Raw genomic sequence first — 20,507 nt, 5'->3', positions numbered from 1 at the left:
ATGATATATGTATATTATATATATATATATGATACAGTTTACCCAAAGAAACTGTTATCACAGGTGGCTGGGCAGCTAGGGGTTCTCCTCTAATTTTGAACGTTTTATTATAACCTAGAACAGAAGAGTGTGAGGCTCTTCTTACAGGCCATGGGTTTCCACATTTGGATACATCAGATATATTGAAACCACATTATGTCATAGTTTGAAAGAATCCTCTATTTAAAAAGTTACTTGTACTATTTAAGTAGTCAAATGAGATGAGTAAGTCAAAATGTGTAAACAACAATAAATATTTTGTAAATTGTTATATGATATATATGATATATGATGATATATATATAATGCAATGTAAAGAGGGTAGTTATATGTTTTAAGATTTAATTTGGCTTATTTTATTTTTTTAGAGATGGAGTCCTGCTATGTCACCCACATGGGAATGCAGTGGCACAATCATAGCTCCTTACAGCTTCAAACTCCTGGGCTCAAGCCATCCTCTCACCTCAGCCTCCTAAGTAGCTAGGACTACGGTGTGAGCCACTGCACCAGGCCAGCTTATTTTCAAATACGGAGGTGTAAGAGATATCAGGAGTGGTGGGAAGGACTGAGGGGTCTTGAAGAAATAACCAAAAAACCAAAGACAGACCAGTTCTACTCCTTGCAGGAACTGGCAGGGTCTCACACAAGGTGAGGTTCACTGTTTGAGAGGAGACTTTTGGAACTTCTTCTAAACATTAGCAAGGGTAAAAAAGGTTTAACTGGCCAAGAATTTTTTTTTAAACTACAAATTAAATTGTTCTAAGTCTGGAATTGCCTATAAAGTAATCAACTATATATAGGTGAAATAGGCTTTCCTAAGTGCCCTATGAGCCACATGTATCAGTGTGCTCATGATAGTGTCTTTTGAATTCCAAACAATCAGCTTGCAAAGCTTGGGAACAGAATTGGCTATTGAGTAAATCCATAAAGTGGGTCTCCTGTGGTGCTGTAGCCTCGCATTTGCCCGGGGGTAAGGTAAAGGTGATCAGGGTTGATTGCTTGAGAAATGTTCCGTCTGAAAACAGTAGAATGGAGTGAGCCATTCTACATGAAATCCTGGCAGGGAGCACATTTAATTTTCCATTCCATTACCTCTGTGTTTCCTCTCTGACATTTCAGCTTTCCTTTGCTGCCTCTCTGAAAGTTGAACACCTACTAAGCGTCTGGTCTGATCAGGTGTCGAAAATCCAAGCTGAAAATGGCAGTGTTTCTGCCCTTGAGGTGCTCTCAGTCTAGCTGGCCAGATGGATAATCCACTGATGGTATCTGATTTGACAATAAGTGTGTAAGAGTGTGCTGTGGAATGGGAAACGTTGGACTCAACCTAGAGGAGAGTGACTGGGGAAAGATTCGCACACAGGTGACAAGTGAGCTGGCTTTCAAAGAATGAGGAGGAGGTCACCAGGCATTAACAGTGGCAGGAGGAAGAATATGAATGAGGGATGGAAGTCCCAGCTAATTTGCCTCTTTCCCTCCTCCCTTTGGCTTGCCCTGTCTCTGGGTAGTCTGTTTATGTATCTAATTAACTGGAATGGGGGCGTGTTTATTTGGACAGAGGAAGTATAATTACCAAGGAGTTCAGATACTCAATACTTGGCAAGTCCAGTTACAAACAGGTTGCCTTTTGAAGAGAATCAGAACGAGAGAGAACTAGCAGAACTAGCTACGAGAACAGGTTGACCTTGACCAAGAACTTTTCTCCCTGGGAATTGCATAGGGTCCTTCTAGACATCCCTGGCTCCGGTGACATTCTTTCTTCTGAGATGTCATTGCCTTCAGTCAGATTTCAGTAAAGGTTTTACAGGTGTGGGACTACAATATCTCTGTATGGTGACTTTGGTTGAGGGCTTAACTCAAAGAGCAGCCTTTCTTCTCTCTTCGGGTTTTTATGGGATACCTTAATGGCATCGCCCTGTACTGCTTGCCCTGTCTGTCCTTGCTTTCCTTCCCTTGCTGTCTCTTATACATGTTCTATTTATGTCCTCTGCCTTACTTGGCCGCTTTCTGCTTTCCTCCTTACTCTACTCCCATTCCCTCATATTCCTTCTGTCAAACTTTGAAAGTTTGCTCAGTGCAAATTAAGAAAACATTTCCAAAGAGTGTTTCTTTTTCTTTTTCTGGATGCATATTTTCGTCATTATAGTACATTATTAACCAAATTGTGCCTTACCATTTTTTTTTTCTTGAGCATGAGCCTGACTGACGTGATCTTTTGTAAGTTCCTATAGGCCCATGCCATTCATTATTACCAAGTGACATTTCCCAAGAGCCTCCAGAGTGTATCACAGTTGAAGATCTTTTCCTTCCTAGCAGAAGGATCCCACAGTGGGATGGAAGCAGATATGGTCATCAAACTTTTGGATTGGCAGATGAGTTAGAGATCTGGGTTTGTATAAACTCCAGCACCTCCCACTTTCACCTGAGCATGGGAGTCCCTCAGAGAATTTGGTAGACATTCAAATTCTTGGGCCCCATTCCAGACTCATGGAATCAGAATCTCTAGAGGGGAACTAGACAGCACCTTATACATGGAAGTTACCTCTAGATGAATTAAATGGGCAAAGTTCCCACTTTCAAGTTTACTTTCCAACTAGGGTAATGACAAAAAGCAAATCAATCCATCCACCAATCAACCAATAAGCAAAAAAAAAAAAAAAAAAAAAAAAAAAATTGCAGAGAGGGATACAAGGAAATCAAGCAGAATAATATTTTAGGGAATGGCTGCTGGGCTGGGTATTAATTTACATGGCACAAAGAAAAACCTCTCCAAAGATATCCCCTTGGAGCTGAGACCTAAACTATGAAAAGGAGCTGAGGAAGTCAGGTGCTAGGGAAGAGCTCATGTCCATCTTGTTTACCTGTGTCCTGAGTATTAGCACTAACGTTGGCTCCTGGTGGGGGCTTAATAAATACTTGTTGGATTATGCATGAAGTCCTTGGACAGCAATGTCGTACCCATAATCTGAACAATGGAATCAATGGAGTGTTCTTGAAGTTCAAAGGGGTTACTAAATTAAGAGAGGTTGCTATCACAAATAGAATATTTACAGAATATCTGAGGAAATTCTGCAAGAAGCAGAATTCCTGAGGAAAAAGAGAAAATGAAGAAAAGTGTATAAAGAAGAACATGTGAGAAAAGAGGCCTGGAGGGGGTGGCCATGGGACAGCCAAGGAGCTTAGGAACAAGGAGAGGAAGAAAACAAGTCCATGCTCGCACCTCTGGCCTTATGACCTGCCAGTTCAAAGGGTAAAAAGTAATTATTGCCATATTCTTGGGATTGAGCACTGTGCTCTTACTAACATTGCTTTGTATATTACAAAGTAAACTTTTAAAAAGCCTTTAGAAAACAAAGACAGTGTTATATTACATCACTTTGAAGAAAATTAGAATAAATACCAATTCTAACAAGCTTAGGGAAAAGTTAGATATGATCAGAAGTCACAAGTGGAAGATATTTCAATAGAATTTGAATGCTGCTCTGAATCAGACTGCTGCCAATTTAAAACTATAAATGATTGCCATTCGAATTTTTTCCCCTCCTGGCAGCAAAAAGCATAAAAAAGCAAAATGCAGTATTGGAGAAGCTGACTATTTAAGAATTATCAGGGTACACTCACAGCAGCATATCTCTACATCTGTGTGTGTGTCCATCGCTCACTTAGCCTGCTTTTAGTGAGGGCCTGCAATAGAAAAAAAAGAGAGAGAGAGAGAGATGAATGTGTTTTCCCGGTAGTGTCCAGATCTCAGATGAAACTTTGTAACTGAGCTATAAATACTTGCTAAATAATTATTTCTCCCTCCTCCCCTCCACCCCCTCTTCTTCTTTTGGTTTAGCTGTTTTTTGTTTGTTTGATTTTCAGTAGTCACAATGGTGGAGTATTGTCCATCTTTCATGAGAAAGAATGAATTCTTAAAATTAGCCCATGTGGATATGAACTGTGTGTTCTTGGTGTCCCTGGACTTATTTAATCTATAAAACAATCTTTTAGCACCTACACCCATGGTAGAAAATGTCCTCTGAACACAAATAGTTGTCTCTAAGCCTTTCAATGTGCTTTATTCATGATGTCATTCTTCAGAGCTCTGTTGACTTTATTTAGTTGCAGTTCTTACCAGATGCGGTCATCTGCTTTCTAAGTCAACTGTAAATTAGCAAACTGAATGGTCAGCAGTGCCTGTTAGGGGCACAGGGACCACGGGTATGGCTGCATCATGAGGGCACAAGTGAAGGGCAGCTCTCCAGTCATATCGCCCACTCTGGGGGTGACATGCTCATGGTGGTGACAGTTGGTCAAGAAAAGACAGAGGTGTGAGCAGTAGGCTCCACTTCTCAAGGAAGGGAGGGTATGCTTCTATTTTAAAGGTTTTTAAGCTTTGGTTATCTGGAAGATGGAGTCATTGACCTTCATCCTCTGATAATAAATGAAAGAATTTAACAACCCCTACCCCCATAATACATAATCTGTAGTGACTTCCATCTCCCCCAGCCCCTGTTTTCCAATGGGGACCAGCCAGAGTTGTGCTCTTGGAGAGAAGGGGAAAATGATCATTTGTGACTTTTGGCTCAGTGTATAGTACAATATGTTTCCCTGTGCTTTTTGTGATTTAATATACAACTAATAGAACAAATTTTAAATTAATACTGCAATAACAAGGCACACATTGTACACAATTGATTTTTATTGGTTCCACTTCAAAGATTATGTTGTGGTTTTACCGTTGAATGACTCCCTCATACAAAATGCATTGCGGTGCATTTTTCTATTTAGTAAACTGTAGATAAAATTAAGTGAAACTGCCATTAAAAGATTAATTGGGAAAGTCAGTCATGACTTTAGAGTTTCTTAACTTGTATCAATCTTATAGTGTTTCTTGCCGTAGAAATCTAGTGCATGCAAAGGTATTTGTTCCCAAAATGGCAACAGGAGTAGTTTTAGTGAAGATGTATTACTTAAAAGAAAGACATGCTTATGGCAAAAAATTAAGAGAACAATAAAAGATGTAAGGAAGAGGTAAAAATCATTTGAATCATGTTGCCTATAGATTATATGTGCTAGGATTTTGGGATATTTGTTTCAGGATCTTTTTTAAGCACACATATGCACAGATGCCTGCTTAATTTATCAATCAGTTTATTTAGTGAATTAATGTAGTCAGAATGGAATCATACTATGCATAGTGTTTTGTAACCTGTTTTTTTTTTTGGTTAAAAACAATAAATAATAAACATCTTTCATATCAATATTATTATTTTCAATAGCTGTATAGTATGTCACTGTTTGGATGAATCATGATTTTCAGGGGTGTTAGCTGCATTATAAAATTCCTAGATATAGCTGAGTTTACTAAATGTAAAGACTTAAAGATTTTATGGTTTACTAAATTTAAGATTAAAAAAATAAGTTCTGTCAACCATTCAAAGAAAATGTCAGCTAGAAAGGAAAAATAATCTTGAAAACCTATAGTATTCCCAGAGTATTTGTGACCTAAAAGCTGAAAGTTCTTGTTGAATTTTTCTGATATGATTTCATCAAAAATGACAAATACTAGCATGATGAAATGAGTGAAATTCTTCAGACTATCTGTAAAAATCAGATTTATTCTTTTTTTAAGATATAGCTGTTGAGCACTATATATGTATATATATACATATAATATGTATATATTATATGTTGCTATTATACATAATTCAAAAATATATGTAAAATAACTCGAGCTCTAGAGTAGTGATGTAGTGACGTTTCTTCACATTGCACAACTCCGCAAAGCACCGTTATCATTATATTCTCTAGTGCACACCCAGCAAGACCTTACACTCAGGAAAGTCATGTCCATATGGAGTTTTTATACTGGTTTTCACATCACTTAAATAGCCTGAAGGGTTCTATTACTACTTAGTGTGATTGCTCTGTAACTTTGGAATATTGTTTATACATTTGTTCTTTTATTCATTATCAGATTTTCTGAGTACCCACAGTAAGCGGGGATTGAGATCCTCAGGGTTTGCGCACCGTACTGATGACCAAGGCAGGATAGTAGGCCCGGCCTCCTGGGCCTTTCTCTGTTTGAGATAGGAACCTCAGCGTCATCATCAAACCTGGCAACATTTTTAAACAGAGGTGCATTTTTAAACAGAGGGAGCTTATAAACATAGTGTAGCAATCATGGATTTGTGACTAGAATAGAAGATCAGAGAGATAAAGTACAGTACTGGAGACCTGGAGAAGGAGCGGATGTTCAGTGAGCCCCTTTGCATCGCCTCCTATAATGCCCAACCAGAGAGATTCTTAACATTCCTGTCCATTTAAAAACACAGAACATGGTGGCCTTGCAGAGAACATTAAATTCAGCCCTTGTGAAGACAGTTAGGCAGCGTGCCCTTACATCATCTTGGGTATATCTTGCCTGGAATCATTTACTCCTCTGTCTCCTTATCTTGCTATTCCCAGTGATGAGCCACAGTGCCTGACACTTAACAAATGCCCATTGCATGTTAGATATTGAATATCTGAGAGCATTCCTGTACTCCATCAAGATCCCAGTTTTTGCTGGAGTCAGGTGACATGCGTCTTAAATTTTACCACGAGATTCTCTCACATTGCACAATGCAGAGCATCCATGTTTGTCTTTCTCCTCAGTTCCTAGCACTGCATGTTGGCTGTGACTAAAGGAAGCTATGAGAGAACCCCACAACCATCAAATGTAACAGCAGACAGGACCCTTACAGGGCATTCTCATCCAATCCCAGTGACATATAGATGGAGATACTGGGAGCAGAGAAATAGAATGGCCTTTTAAAACTCACACTCTAGTCCAGGATCTGAACTTGAATCAAGACTCCTTGCTCCTTCATTCAGCAAACATTTATTAAACACCACTAGGTGTATAGCATTTGGCTAAGCACTGGGTAATCTAAGTTGAATAAGGCACAAAAGAGATCTCCCCTGAGGGTGTCAGTCTAGCAGGACAGCCAGATGGATACAGAAACAGGGCAGAGTGTGAGAAATTGTGTGCGCACACATGTGTGGGCACACAGCAGCAACTGAAATACTCTCCCAGATCTGCTTATAAGTTGCCTAAGAAGGACAGCAGAGGAAGTAACCAACACTATCTGGGTAGTCACAACTAATATTCTCTGAGTGCTTTCTGTGTTGGACACTTTCCACATATTATCTCATTCCATTTTCACAAAAATCCTGTTGGGTCATATCATCATGCTCCTTCCATAGCTAAGAAATGGAGGCCCAGGAAGGTGATCTGATTTGCCCTTAGTCATAACCAGGATTTCAACTCAGGGTCTGCTTGATTTCAAGCCTATGCTCATTTTACTATAATGGGGATAAGTAGGTTTCATTTCAAGGCTGATTCTATTTGATTGCCAGAGACTGCTTGGAGCATTGTGCTGCAAGAGATTCTAGGTCATATCTGAGCCCAGAAACAAATAGTGTCATGGTTTCTTAATCATGAGTGGAGGATGGAAAGTGGTATCCTGTGTCAGGACCATGTCATTCCTGAACTGTACCATGCTATAGTTCTTCCAGGCCCATCTCTCTGTAAGGCAGCATGGTTTCAACCGCTACCCCAGTGCCTGCCACTTCATTCATACTCCTTTCCTCTGAGCTCAGAATGATATTTTATGCCATCTGTTATGTCCAGAATGTTGTGTCCTAGGTAGGTCAAGTTTCTTGTGCAATGCCCAATGCTGTAGTCCTTTCAAAATGTTTCAACCCCATTAGAGACATCTCTTATACATTCCCCCAGGGCACTGTTCTATGCTCATGACAGTTTATGTGATTAAATATTACATGCCCACAGCCTAATATGTTAGCATTTCTAGGTAAGTTGCAACAGAGGACTTCTGAATCCAAAGGAGTGACTTCAGCAGGAAGAATGTCCAATCCTTGGGAAGGTTAGTTGGGATCTGTCATTCTTTAAGATTATACCAGGCAAATAGCTGCTACTCTGTCAGTACACACAGCTGATCTCACACCTTTTCTCTGTAGCTCTGCCACAGAGCCCTTGATATAATAGCTAGTGAAGTATTGAGGCATTGCTGTTTAGTACACATAACACTTAAAGTGGAATCTGGAGGTGGAGATGGTGTTTTCTTACATGGTTTATAACTTCCAGCTGTTGCCTGTAGTTAAACACTAGAATTAGGTCTAGGCAGTGGTTCTAGCTGGTATGCCTCTGCTTTAAATTTTATCTTTTATTGCCCTTGGTATCAAGATTTTCAGTTTTTCAAAGCTGGAAAGCTGGCCACAAGTTTAAAACAAGTATCTAAAACCAGTTGTTAGAGTCAAAATACCCAACACTAGTAACGATAGTGTTAAATGAATCATTTATGGAATGTTTAACTGCTCATCATCTATTTGAAGCATCTTGGTGTCCTTTTTTCTACAGTAAAAATATAAATCAGATTTACTAAAGGTGTATATTTTCATTCCTTTCACATCGGTGACAATCTATTTTCTGAGTTATTGGACTTCTGAAATGCTAAATGAATATGAATTTGACTGCATACCACATCTGAAAGTGTTAATTTTTAAATTGTTAAACAAATTCTTTAATGTCGTAAGAGCATTTTCACTTAAATATTCTGTTAATGTGTGACTTACACATTATAATGCTTCTAACCAAAAGTAGATGCTTACTTTGAAATTCTACTTTAAAAATTCCTTTTCAAATAAGAAGAATGCCTCCCTAGGTTGAGGTCCACAAACCTGACTTTTATGTAGAGTTATAATTTTCTATTTTAGTAAATCAGATGGCCCTGCGGCTTACTAGGTTAGTATTATTGCTTGTGCCCTGCTGCTTTTTCCTGGACTAAAAACAAAGATTAAGACAGTGAACAGATTTAAAATATATCCTCCCTTGTGATGAAATTAGTAGTCCATGTGGCAAAGTGAGAGTATTCTACGTGATTGTTTTTATCATTATGGATGTTTTATTTGTGTGCCACTCATATGTCAACGTTCTTTGATTAATTGCATGTGTGAATTTTTAAACAGATGGAAATATGGCTGCAAGTCTAAATAGAAGGAATAGAAAAGTTTGAATGTTGAACAGGCCTTGTGTAAACTGAGACCTTATCCATCACCAAAACCCCAGGAATGCTGAACCATCTTAAATACGTTCCAGTGAAGGGTGCTTCTCCAGATGGGAGGGTGTTCTCCCTTCTTATTTCCTATAATGTGGAGATGAGGTATTCACCAAGGTACTATTTGAGGTATTTTGTAAACTTCCAAATTTGGGTGTGGGGGTTGTTATCGAGTATGTAAACAATAATGTTGACTAGGTACTTTGCAAGATCTTTTACTTCGCTTGTCACCAATATAATTGTACCTTCCAAAGTGTTAGACATTCCTTAATTTGATGTTTCTGATTACCTTAAATTGCAGTCATTAAGATATCATCTCAGTGCTGTAATTGAATATTCTAGCATGCTATTCACTTAACTTTAAAAATTAACATTGAACTCACGTTATTGATTTTTGAGTACAACTCTCAAACTAGTTTATTTAATTACTAGAGGAAAGCTTATTTATAGTCTAATTGAACTATTAGTGAGTCTCTTAAACAGGTACTGAAGGAATGTAGAACATCATTAAAATAAAAAAAAATTGCTTCTTATCAATATAACTGACCTGTCACTTGGCCACAGAAGGAAATAGGTTTGTTATACAAACTGAGTCCTCATAAAGGCATTCACTAGCACATGGTAGGTAATTGCTTAGTAAATATTTATTAATAGAAGGACATTTGCCTCAGTTACCACCTACTGCTGATGACTCCCAAATCAGCATTTCAATTTGGAGCTCTCAGAGTTCTGACCCATGCTCCTGGCTGCCTTCTACACATCTCCAACTGGAGAAGCCACAGACACTCTAAGTGCCTGATGCCTAAAACTGAACACTGTCTCCTCTTAAACCTGTCCCTCCTGTCTCCCTGCTTAGTTATCATAGCCACATGCTACCCACTCACCCTGGAGTCTTTCCTCCCCTCACTTCCTAGATCCAAATATTCATCAGGTCTCACATTTCCTTCCCCCTTACAGCTTCTCTGACCATCTCCACAACCACTGCTTTTTTCAGATCCTGATAGTTTCACCTGGATTTTAGCTAGTCTTCAGATGAATCTCCCTTTGCAGGCCAGCAGTACTCAAATTTTACCACGCAAAAGCATTCCCTAGGGAGATGGCTAACATGGAGATGCCTAGATCACACCTTCCTCACTTTCTCATTTGGCAGGACTAGGTTTTAAGAAATCAGAATATTAAGCAGGCAGCCCAGATGATTTTGATGCAGACTGGAGTTGACTTCTAGTTCCACAAATACCTCTAGTCCGTCCTGAGCACTTAGATAAAAATTTACTCTAAAATATAAGATTTGTTCACATCCCTGATTAAAAATCTTCGAAGAACTACCATTCAATAACAGTATTTTTAAAGTAGTGGTCAGTAGAGTTGCCAAGAGTCCCTCAGAGGGGCCTCAGTGTGTGGACGTGTATGGGGAGAGGGTGTTTGGAGTATGAAGATGAGAGCCCATTCTGCTACATAGGGCTTTAGTTAACACCCCCTCTCCTCCGTCTCTTTCTTTAGTCAGAGCAGCTCTGATTTTGAAGTTTAACGAGATATTTCCTTTGGGAAAAGTATTCCTCTACTTAAAAAAAAAAGAAATGGTTTGAAAACCACTGATCTATTGAAGTGGATTTCAAACTTTAAAAAAAAAAAAAAAGCAGTACCCACAGTAAGAAATAGTGTACATTTTGTATCACAGCCCAGTTCACACACTTATTTTTCTGTGTAATTGAAACAAGTTTTATGGAACATGCCCTTACTATTACTTGATGCACTCTGATGTTTTCTGTTTCTATTTCATTTTTTTTAAAAAATCGCTGGTTGCAACTCACTAAATTGATTTCACAACCCACTGAATTGCTACTGTGTCTGGAAAAACTTTGATCTAGCAATTCTCAGTGGGGTTCCTTTATGAACCAAGGAACATAGAAAGATTTTCTTAATCTTTTCAAGGGTGGTACATAACTCACACCATTCTAGATGCTTAGAAGAGAAGTTAGTTCATTACATACAATGGGTGCCTAAGGGCATTCAGACTTAATTTTCTGCATGAACTCCTGGTTAAAAAAGGCTTATTAGTGTCTGATCTGTAATAAATCCAAACTCTTGATTATTGCACACAGGGCCCTTCTCAATCTAGCCCTGTGTTCACCTCTCAGACTTTACCTTACTTCCTCAATCATCTTCCTGGGTTAAAACCATCCTGAACCACTTGGAATTACCCAGATGCTTCACGCTATTTCTCACCTGTGCACAGTCATTCTTGCCCTTCAGCACCAGCTCAACTGAGTGTCACTTCGACTGAGACCCTCATTGACAGGAGTTAGAGTCGTCAGGTCCAGGTTCTGTCCCTGTCAATCCCTGAAGTGATTAATAAATTTCAGTCACATTCACCTGGCTCATCTCCTGTGCTACTGAGTGTGGGCTAGATACTTAGTTCTAAGAATACAAACACATGAGGCACAGCATACCTGCTTAGGGAGCTTAGAACACACCTGAGACACAAGACGTATGTATTAAAAACTACCTCTAGTATAGCTCAATGCTCAAGAGTTTGCATGGGGAAGTCAGGCCTGAGTTCAAATGATAACTTCTATTTTTTGGCTTGTGCACCTAGGACAAACTGTTGAGCTACTCTAAACTTCAAATTTATTGTATGTTAGTCTAGGATAATAATAAAAGTAGCAACTTTGTAAGGCTGTGAGTTTTACAGGGGAAGTGCATGTAAAGCCCTGAGCACACTGCCTGACCCAGAGTTCTCAGGAAATGCTAGAGAGGAATTAAGCAGGTAATGTGCCCAGTGCCACGTGAATGCTATAGGTAGAAAGTGCTACAGGAGTTGAGAGGAGGAAATGGACACTGTGGTGGAAGAGATGGGAGAGCTCCAGTGGAGAAGGCAGAGTATGCACTAAGCTTAGAAAGAAAAGCAGACCTCAGATTAGGAGGTGAGAAGGCATTCCTGGCACGGCGAGCCAAAGAGCAGCAGAGGAGGACTGTGGATGCCTTGCCTGTAGACTACTTTTGCTGCCACTCTTTGTATATTTATTTTTGCGTATGTGCTCAAACATTTTCCCAAATGCAAATTGAAGATATTCATCTCTAGAGATGCTTATTTTCTCATTTGAAAAAACTGTGCTCCCTCTCTCTTTTCCATGGCTTTTTGCTAAGTCTATATGGCATCTATAATTTTGCTTATGGAGTCAGCTTGATTAAACCATTTTGGGTCAGCATGGAGAAATAGGTTACAAAACTGGCTGTGCATCATGATCACCCAGGGAACTTTTTAGTCCTGCAGATTTCTGTGTCCCACCCGAGATTCTGACTATTGGGTCTGATGTGGGACCAGAGAATATGCATTATTTTAAAAGTTCCTTTAATTTTCATTTGGCTTGGTCAAAAGTTTGAAAAACACTGGTAATCTTTAAGGCCCCACCCAGCTCCAGTGATCTGTATTTCCCATAACAGTAACATTTTTATTCTCTCTGCTATTCTCAAGAGAGGGTTACTGTGTTGTCAAGAGAGAAAAACTAAACAAGCCAGACATCAAAAGCTATAGCTACCAACTTTGATGTGAAGAGTCCTTTCTATATGAAATTGTATAATTCCAAAAAATCCAGGTGGGAGTGTTCCAAGGTCCTTATGCTGACGGGAAGGAAGGACAAACACTGGCCAACTTTATACTTTGTTAAACATGTAAGTCGAGATTTAATAGAGTCTACAACTTCCAAACCAGTGGAAGGGGGAAAATGAAACCAAAGGAAATGAAAAAATAAAAGATCTCAATACGAAAAAAGAGAGGGGGAAAAAAGCGAAACATAGAAAAAAATGAAACAAAGAACAAAATAAGATGCTAGAAGTGAATTCCAATATATTGATAACTAAAATCAGTGCAAATCACGGTACAGTTAAAAAACAGATCAATCTAAACAATATGATGTCTAACATTACATCCGTATATTGGAAAACCATGAGAAAAAGCAAGAAGATGATTAGCCCAAAATGTATGATACGTTTATCTCAACAGGAGAGAGGGCTCCTGGGGTGGGCACCCAGGAAGCTCTAAAGATACGATAGTGTTCTTTGAAGTTTCTTTAAGTTCTTTAAGTTGGGTGGTAAGTAGACAGGTATTCTTATTTTTTTTATTCTTTTAAGCATTATTTTTTAAAGTTCACTATATTTTTTGTAGTTTTGTTTGAATAATATAATACACCCCCCTGGCATGCGTGCATCGCACACACACTCAAAAAAGGATAAAAATAAATTGCCAATGTTTTCCTAAAGCCCCACTCTCATATTATTAGATGTGAATTTTTAATGTGATTTTTTGTTCTTTAATGACGTGATTTTTTTGTCATGAAAGTTTTCTCCCCAGCACAAAACTCTGTTTTGAATTAATCTTGTGACCCAACACTCCAAACAAGTCTTCACATTGATGCTTTTTGTCATAATACGATAATTCCTATATAGTTTCCCTTTTCGTTGAATTACATAAAATAATTCATTCAATTAAAACCTTATAAGCTTTTTATTGAGCAATGATCTTGTGTCAGATGCTGTTTTAATCATTGTATATGAATTAATCCATTTAATTTTTATAAAAACCCTTGGGAATGGTACTAATCCTGCCCTCATTTTAAGCCTGAGGTAACTACAGCACAGAGAAGTTAGGTGATGTGGTCAAAGGCACACAGCCGATCAGTGGAAGAGCCAGGATTGGAACCCAGGCAGCCTGGCACCAGAGCCATGTTCCTGACTTTGTGCTAGGCTGCTCAGCTGTGGCCCGTAAAGCATCTTACTACTGAAGAGAGTGAAGGAGGAGTAGGAGGGTACCTCTGGACTTCAAGGGCCCCTCCGTAGTATGTCATGTCTGACCATAAAGCTACATATATCACAATTACATCATTCTTTGGTTGTTAAAGGAAAGATTTTTTTTTTTTTTTGGCCAGGAAAGGAAGAAAGGGAGGGAGAGATGGAAGGAGGGAAGGAATCCAAAGGAATCCAACAAAAATATTGGCTGATTGGCTGGCCGTGGTGTCAGAAGAGAAATAAAAATCTGCTGATCTCATCTTTATGCTGTTTCCAATGAACAACAAAAGGCAAATGTTCTTCGACAGAACAGCACAAACATACTAGGTGGCTAAACTAGAGAACAGGTACTTCAGAGATGTTGCCTTAAGCAGATGCTCCCCGGCAGTGACCCTGGGAAACAGCTGTTCCAAGCCTCCTCCACCTGGAGGCCAAGATCTCTCTCCAAACACATCTCAGAAGAGATGCACAGTTTATCTAACAGTTCATACTTTGAGGGGGTTTGCTCTATGTTAGCAGTTAAACATAAGTCCTCCCCACGCACCTCCACACCCTAGGCTCTGTAGTCTTGGAGAATTCATAGAGAATGTGGAGATGTCAGGAACATTCAAACAGGTAACTGGACTAATTCTTAAAAGTGAGGGGTGTGTGTGTGTGTGTGTGTGTGTGTGTGTGATAGATCCTGGAAAATATTTATCACTTAGTTGCCTACCAATCTACATAAATCCAGAAGAAAAAAACTAAAAGGAATGTCTTTTGAGTATTTAGCCTCAATGCTCAGACTATGACTGCTGGGAACCAGCAGGGTTCAAAGAAGAGTTTGTGTGATGCCCAGATTACTTTAAAAAAAAAATTCTCAGCATTAACAAATATGAATGAGTGTCCAGAGGTACGCATCTGGGAACTAGTAGATAAAATTCAATATGTGTCTCCTGGAGAAAAGGCTAAAGAAAGACAGAAAGCGTTAACTGTCTTCAAAAACCTGAAGGGCATCACATAGAGAAAGCACAGACTTTTCCTGGGCTATTGCAGAGGATCACACAAAACAAATGGAAGAGTACAACAGGCAGAGTTTGGATGCAAGCCTTCTTTTCAAGTAAATGAAGATATTTATATATTTTTTTGCTTTTTACTTTTTTGGAGATGGAGTCTTGCTCTATTGCCCAGGCTGGAGTGCAGTGGCACAATCTCGGTTCACTGCAACTTCGCCTCCTGGGTTCAAACAATCCTCCTGCCTCAGTCTTCCAAGCAGCTGGGACTACAGGTGCCTGCCACCATGCCCAGCTAATTTTTTGCATTTTAGTAGAGACAGGGTTTCACCATGTTGGCCAGGCTGGTCTCGAACTCCTGACCTGGGTGATCCACCCACCTCAGCCTCCCAAAGTGCTGGAATTATAGATGTGAGCCACCACGCCCAGCCTAAATGAAGTTATTTAAGAGAAGAAACCATTGTTCAGCAGTTGAAGAGCCTCCCTTGACCAGGGCATTTCCTTTGCCTGGATTGTTCTGAGATGTACAAAGGGAAGGCCTTTTTCCTATGAATGAAAGATCAGGCTAAGCGGCTTCTGAACTCTTTTCCAAGTAGGAAACTGCCGAATTCTGTGAAACTGTGGCTTTTAACTCTCCATAAAACTCAAACAAATTTGACTTGTTTGTTTCTCAGACACAATTATCGGGTGGTATGGCTAAAAACTTACTAATATGAATTCTCAAGTTGGTAGTTGCAAACTTGGCTGCCCATCCAGTTCCTTCACTTGTTTCAAACCAGTCTGAATAAAACAAAAAACCAGTCTGAATCTGTCACATTGATTGCACACCCACTAACAAGTTCTGACCCACCACTAGAAAAACTCAGACCTAGCCTAAAGTCAGTCCTCAGTTTACAGCTGAGGAAGCTGAGCCCAGCGCAATGACATGGGTCTCCCAGAGTTGTACAGTAAGTGAAGAATTAGAACCCAAATCTCTGATCTCTTATCTCCAAGTCCAGTTCTTTATTCACATATATCAGCCAGACCGAAAATAATAATACAAGGTGGAGAAAAAAGGGAACCACTGCTGAACCGTAATTATGAAATAAGGAATTCAACCCCCCTGCTAGCTACTAAACATATAGATATTTTTTGTGGAAACAGAGCACCTCATGATAACTGCTGCTCAGTGAACCCACCACAGTGTTGGGTACCACTTTCCATGACCTCTGATCCTCACAACTACCACCTCACATAGTTGGGTTTATTAACTTTATTGTATAAAGGAGGGAATGGAGGCTGAGAAAAGTGAAGTAATTCCCATAATTCGGGTCACTCATAGGTTGAGCTGTGCATACATGTCTGACCCCAAAGTTCGTGGCTCTTCCCTGCCTTACACTGCCTCTTTATAATCCTTGTCTTTCCCTGCTTGGTATTATATCTCTTAGAAGTAAGATAAAGCAACAAGAGAAATACTATGCAGAACTAATTCTAACAAGTAGAGTAGTTGGTGATATCATCTATAGACTTGCTTGTTTGTCGTCTTCTCTGTTAGTATTTTAGCTCCCTGAGTGCGTGGCCTTCACCTCACTCACTGTCTAGTACAGCTCCTGGCACATTGTTAGCTTCAGATGAATATTTATGAGTGGACAAGCAAGTGCATTTAGAAATGACAAGGACATTCGCCGAAAGCAACCACATCATACTACAGAGGCGGGTCATATAGTGGCCCAGGGCACAGCCTGTGGAGAAAGACGGCCTCTGTTCAAAATCGTGTCTCTTAAGAGTTATTTGATCATAGGCAAGTTACTTAACTTCTCTTGTGCCTCGGTTTCCTGGGGATAATAATAATGCCAATGTCATAGTGTGGTCCTGTGAGTTAATCAAGGAAAGCGTTTGCACCAGTGCCTCGCTTATAGTAAGTGCTGTATAAAGATGAGTCGTTATTGCTATCTGAGGTTATGATAATAGTAGGGAAATAGTGGACCCATGTCTTAATGGGAGAAAAATATCATGAAATTTAGAGATAAGGTAAGTATGATGCTGTGGCTAGAGACTCAGAAGAGACTACGGTTCATATTCAATTGCAGAGTCTGAAAAGTAGATTTTTAACTATCTCATCATGAAAGATTTATTTCTGACCAAAAAATCTAAATGTAGAGCAGATGATTATGCAGATGGCCCGTGAATATGTCAAAAAGAATATAGTGCTTACTAAGCATCCACATGAATTTATGAAGAATGAAATTTATGAGCAGGTGATTTGGTTAAACTACTAGAAGAATGCCGTAGACTCATTGTGTCTTATTTTCAAGAGCACATTTAGAAAATCTGATTTCTGTAACAGCAGAATGTAGGGTGAAGTATGGGAGCCCTGGAGTCAGAGAGTTCTCCTCTCATCTCCCCCTAGAATTGGGCCTTGGTTTTCTTATCTGTCCAATGTGGATAATGAGTGCAACAAAGCCTCCCAGTGTGGTTCAGAGAACTAACGGAGATCATGCATGTGCACTGCCTCCTAAGCAGAATGTAAATGTGAGTCTCTCATAATCACAAGACCTGGGTAAGCAGAAAAGAAAGTGAAATGAAATGTGATTGATAGTCAAGGAGGTTCCCACCTATTTGCCTGTACCAAGCGTAGGTCTCAAATGCTCAGATGGTAGGTGGAAGTTTGCCTTGCAGTTGTCAAAACAAATCATGAGGGCCCCTTGATGCCACTGGCTAAAGGCTGGGAGAGAAGAAAACCTGAATAAGTCCCCTAAGGTCTGAGCATCTGTTGCCTCCTCTTCTCTCCTTGCAGGGGCGTTTGTGGTATGCTGGACCCCGGGCCTGGTGGTTCTGCTCCTCGACGGCCTGAACTGCAGGCAGTGTGGCGTGCAGCATGTGAAAAGGTGGTTCCTGCTGCTGGCGCTGCTCAACTCCGTCGTGAACCCCATCATCTACTCCTACAAGGACGAGGACATGTATGGCACCATGAAGAAGATGATCTGCTGCTTCTCTCAGGAGAACCCAGAGAGGCGTCCCTCTCGCATCCCCTCCACAGTCCTCAGCAGGAGTGACACAGGCAGCCAGTACATAGAGGATAGTATTAGCCAAGGTGCAGTCTGCAATAAAAGCACTTCCTAAACTCTGGATGCCTCTCGGCCCACCCAGGCCTCCTCTGGGAAAAGAGCTGTTAAGAATGATTACCTGTCTCTAACAAAGCCCATGTACAGTGTTATTTGAGGTCTCCATTAATCACTGCTAGATTTCTTTAAAAAATTTTTTTTCATAGTTTAAAAGCATGGGCAGTAAAGAGAGGACCTGCTGCATTTAGAGAAAGCACAGAAACGGGAGAGGTTCGGCGGGTCCCTGCTTGTCCTATGAACTGCTCAGAGCTCCTGTCAGTCCAGCTGGGCCTTCTGGGTTCTGGCACCATTTCGTAGCCATTCTCTTTGTATTTTAAAAGGACGTTATGAAAGGGCTTAGACCAAAATAAATCATAATGTTACTTGAGCCACCTTATATAGCTGCTTGGAGAGTCTATGTAGTTCTTTCTGCATGCATTAAAAATGTTTAGAAATGCTTCAGCAATGGTGTTTTTTTCCTCAAAGAAACCATGGCCAGTAGCTAGGTGTTCAGTAGGAATCAAAGAAAAATCAGTAAGAGCTCCAGATTAAACCTGATTTTTAACTGAAGGAACATTCTGAGGAAAAATACTTAAAAGTAAAAAAGGTCAATGTGAAAACCCTTTTTGACCTGAAAAAGGCCTTAGTATGGTCCTCCATGCATGTGTGTGTATATGCATGTGTGTGTGTGTGTGTGTGTGTGTCTATATATATATATATATATATATATATATATATTCCTGTTTTTACTGATTTTTATTGATTTTGTTCAAAGATATCTGGGGATTGGATTGGGGAATGCTTAATCTGACTATTGAAAGAAACATGGATCCCTGGAGTATTTCAGATACGGGGTTACCGCCCCAGACTGCCTCCCGCCAGTCCACATTAGTTCTCATTTTCCCTCATGATGGTGAAAAACAGTGGAGAGCTAGTAAAGGGTTTATGCAGAAAACAAGGAGAAGAGAATGTGAAGTTTGAAGTGCCTATGGAACATCCAGCTGATAATCTTGCCTAGTAAGAGCAAAAGAAGCCAAGAGAACACCAACGTTTAAGGAGCAGGTAGAGAAAACCCAGCAAAAGGACAGAGGAATAAGAGGACCAAAGAACAATGTTAAGAATCAAGGAGAGAGGTCAGGCACGCTGGCTCATGCCTGTAATCCCAGCACTTTGGGAGGCTGAGGCAGGTGGATCACTTGAGGCCAGGAGTATGAGACCAGCCTGGGCAATGTGGTGAAATTGCATCTTTACTAAAAATACAAAAACTAGCCAGGCATGGTGGCACATGCCTGTAATACCAGGTACTTGGGAAGCTGAGGCATAAGAATCACTTGAACCCGGGAGGTGGAGGTTGCAGAGTGAGCCAAGATCGCAGCACTGCACTCTAGTCTGGGTGACAGAGCAAGACTCTGTCTCAAAAAAAAAAAAAAAAAAAAAAAAAGACTAGAGAATGTCAGGGAACACATGTGTATATTTAAACAACTTCACTTTGCATTTAAAAACTCGAAGGACAGCGAAGGTGAAATCAATTCACGGGCCACCTAGACTTTCCAGTCTAGGACTAGAGCTGTAGCAATGATCTGTTGTGCTGTACAAGAAAAGAGAAAGAGGTGTTCATTTGAGAACAGATGTTTTTATACATCAGAGTAAAAGCTGTATTGAAGAGCAGGCTGAATCCCTTCCATATAGAATGAAATATGAGCTTGACCCCAGTCCTTATCTTCAGTTACCTCCATACCAACTGGTGGCATGTTGGATTTAGCATGTAGAATAATTTCCCATCTCTTATTTTTCCCAAGGTTAATGGCATCCTTCTGGTACCTGGCTTACATGTGAACTGAATTTTGATCTGGGTTCTATTTTGAATTTTTCTCCTTCAGAGACCTAAGTAGGCAACATGAAAGACAAGTAGTTAAGAAAGAAAAAATGATGTTTCATACACACAGGCTACCAACGAGAGTTTTCTATGTAAAACATTTAGAGTGTATTCTGATTTAAAATGAGAATAACTTCAAGGTAGATATTATAGTATTTATGTAGTTTGCAAAAGAAGTTTACATTTTTTTGCTATTGTGATATAACATTTATGTGCAAGAACTACTTGTAATAAAAGGATTTGAGATGTCATGCTTCTAAATATAATAGCCTAAAATAGAGAATATTATGATTTGAAAGTGTAGATTTCACAAACTCTGTATAGTATGTGGGTCTATCTGAAGCTTTTATCGAAGCTACCTATAAAATAAAATTTTAAAAGATCTGTTCTCTCTTGTTGAGGTGCATTATTGCTTTGTGTATTTTCTAAGTAAAAATATAGTTTGTGGTAACTACAGCATAAATTTCTATTGCAGAAGAAAAATCAAATTTGCCATGAAGTACATACTCTCAATGTTTTATGTAAGCATTTTGAATCTATAGCTGGCCAAAGGGTGGAGAACTGAAATTGAATTCCAGTCCCCAAATAGCTACTAAGGGATCTTTAAAGGTTTTATTTTGAGGAAAGAACAATT

The 20,507-nt window shown here is 39.6% G+C and overlaps 1 protein-coding gene across 1 annotated transcript in view; it reads left to right on the top strand.

Annotated features, from left to right (window-relative positions):
• The window catches only part of LPAR3 (lysophosphatidic acid receptor 3), an 81,605-nt gene extending 61,345 nt beyond the window's left edge, over positions 1-20,260 (top strand). Inside the window, exon 3 of the mRNA NM_012152.3 lies at positions 17,691-20,260. Coding sequence (NP_036284.1) covers positions 17,691-18,016 — 326 coding nt within the window. The 3' untranslated portion in view covers positions 18,017-20,260. The remainder of the gene's footprint in view (positions 1-17,690) is intronic.
• The last annotated feature ends 247 nt before the right edge of the window (positions 20,261-20,507 follow it).

Source organism: Homo sapiens, chromosome 1 (assembly GCF_000001405.40).
Source record: "Homo sapiens chromosome 1, GRCh38.p14 Primary Assembly".
Classification (NCBI taxonomy): domain Eukaryota; kingdom Metazoa; phylum Chordata; class Mammalia; order Primates; family Hominidae; genus Homo; species Homo sapiens.
Note: the sequence above shows the minus strand (reverse complement) of the source record. Positions and strands in the feature narration are given on the sequence as shown.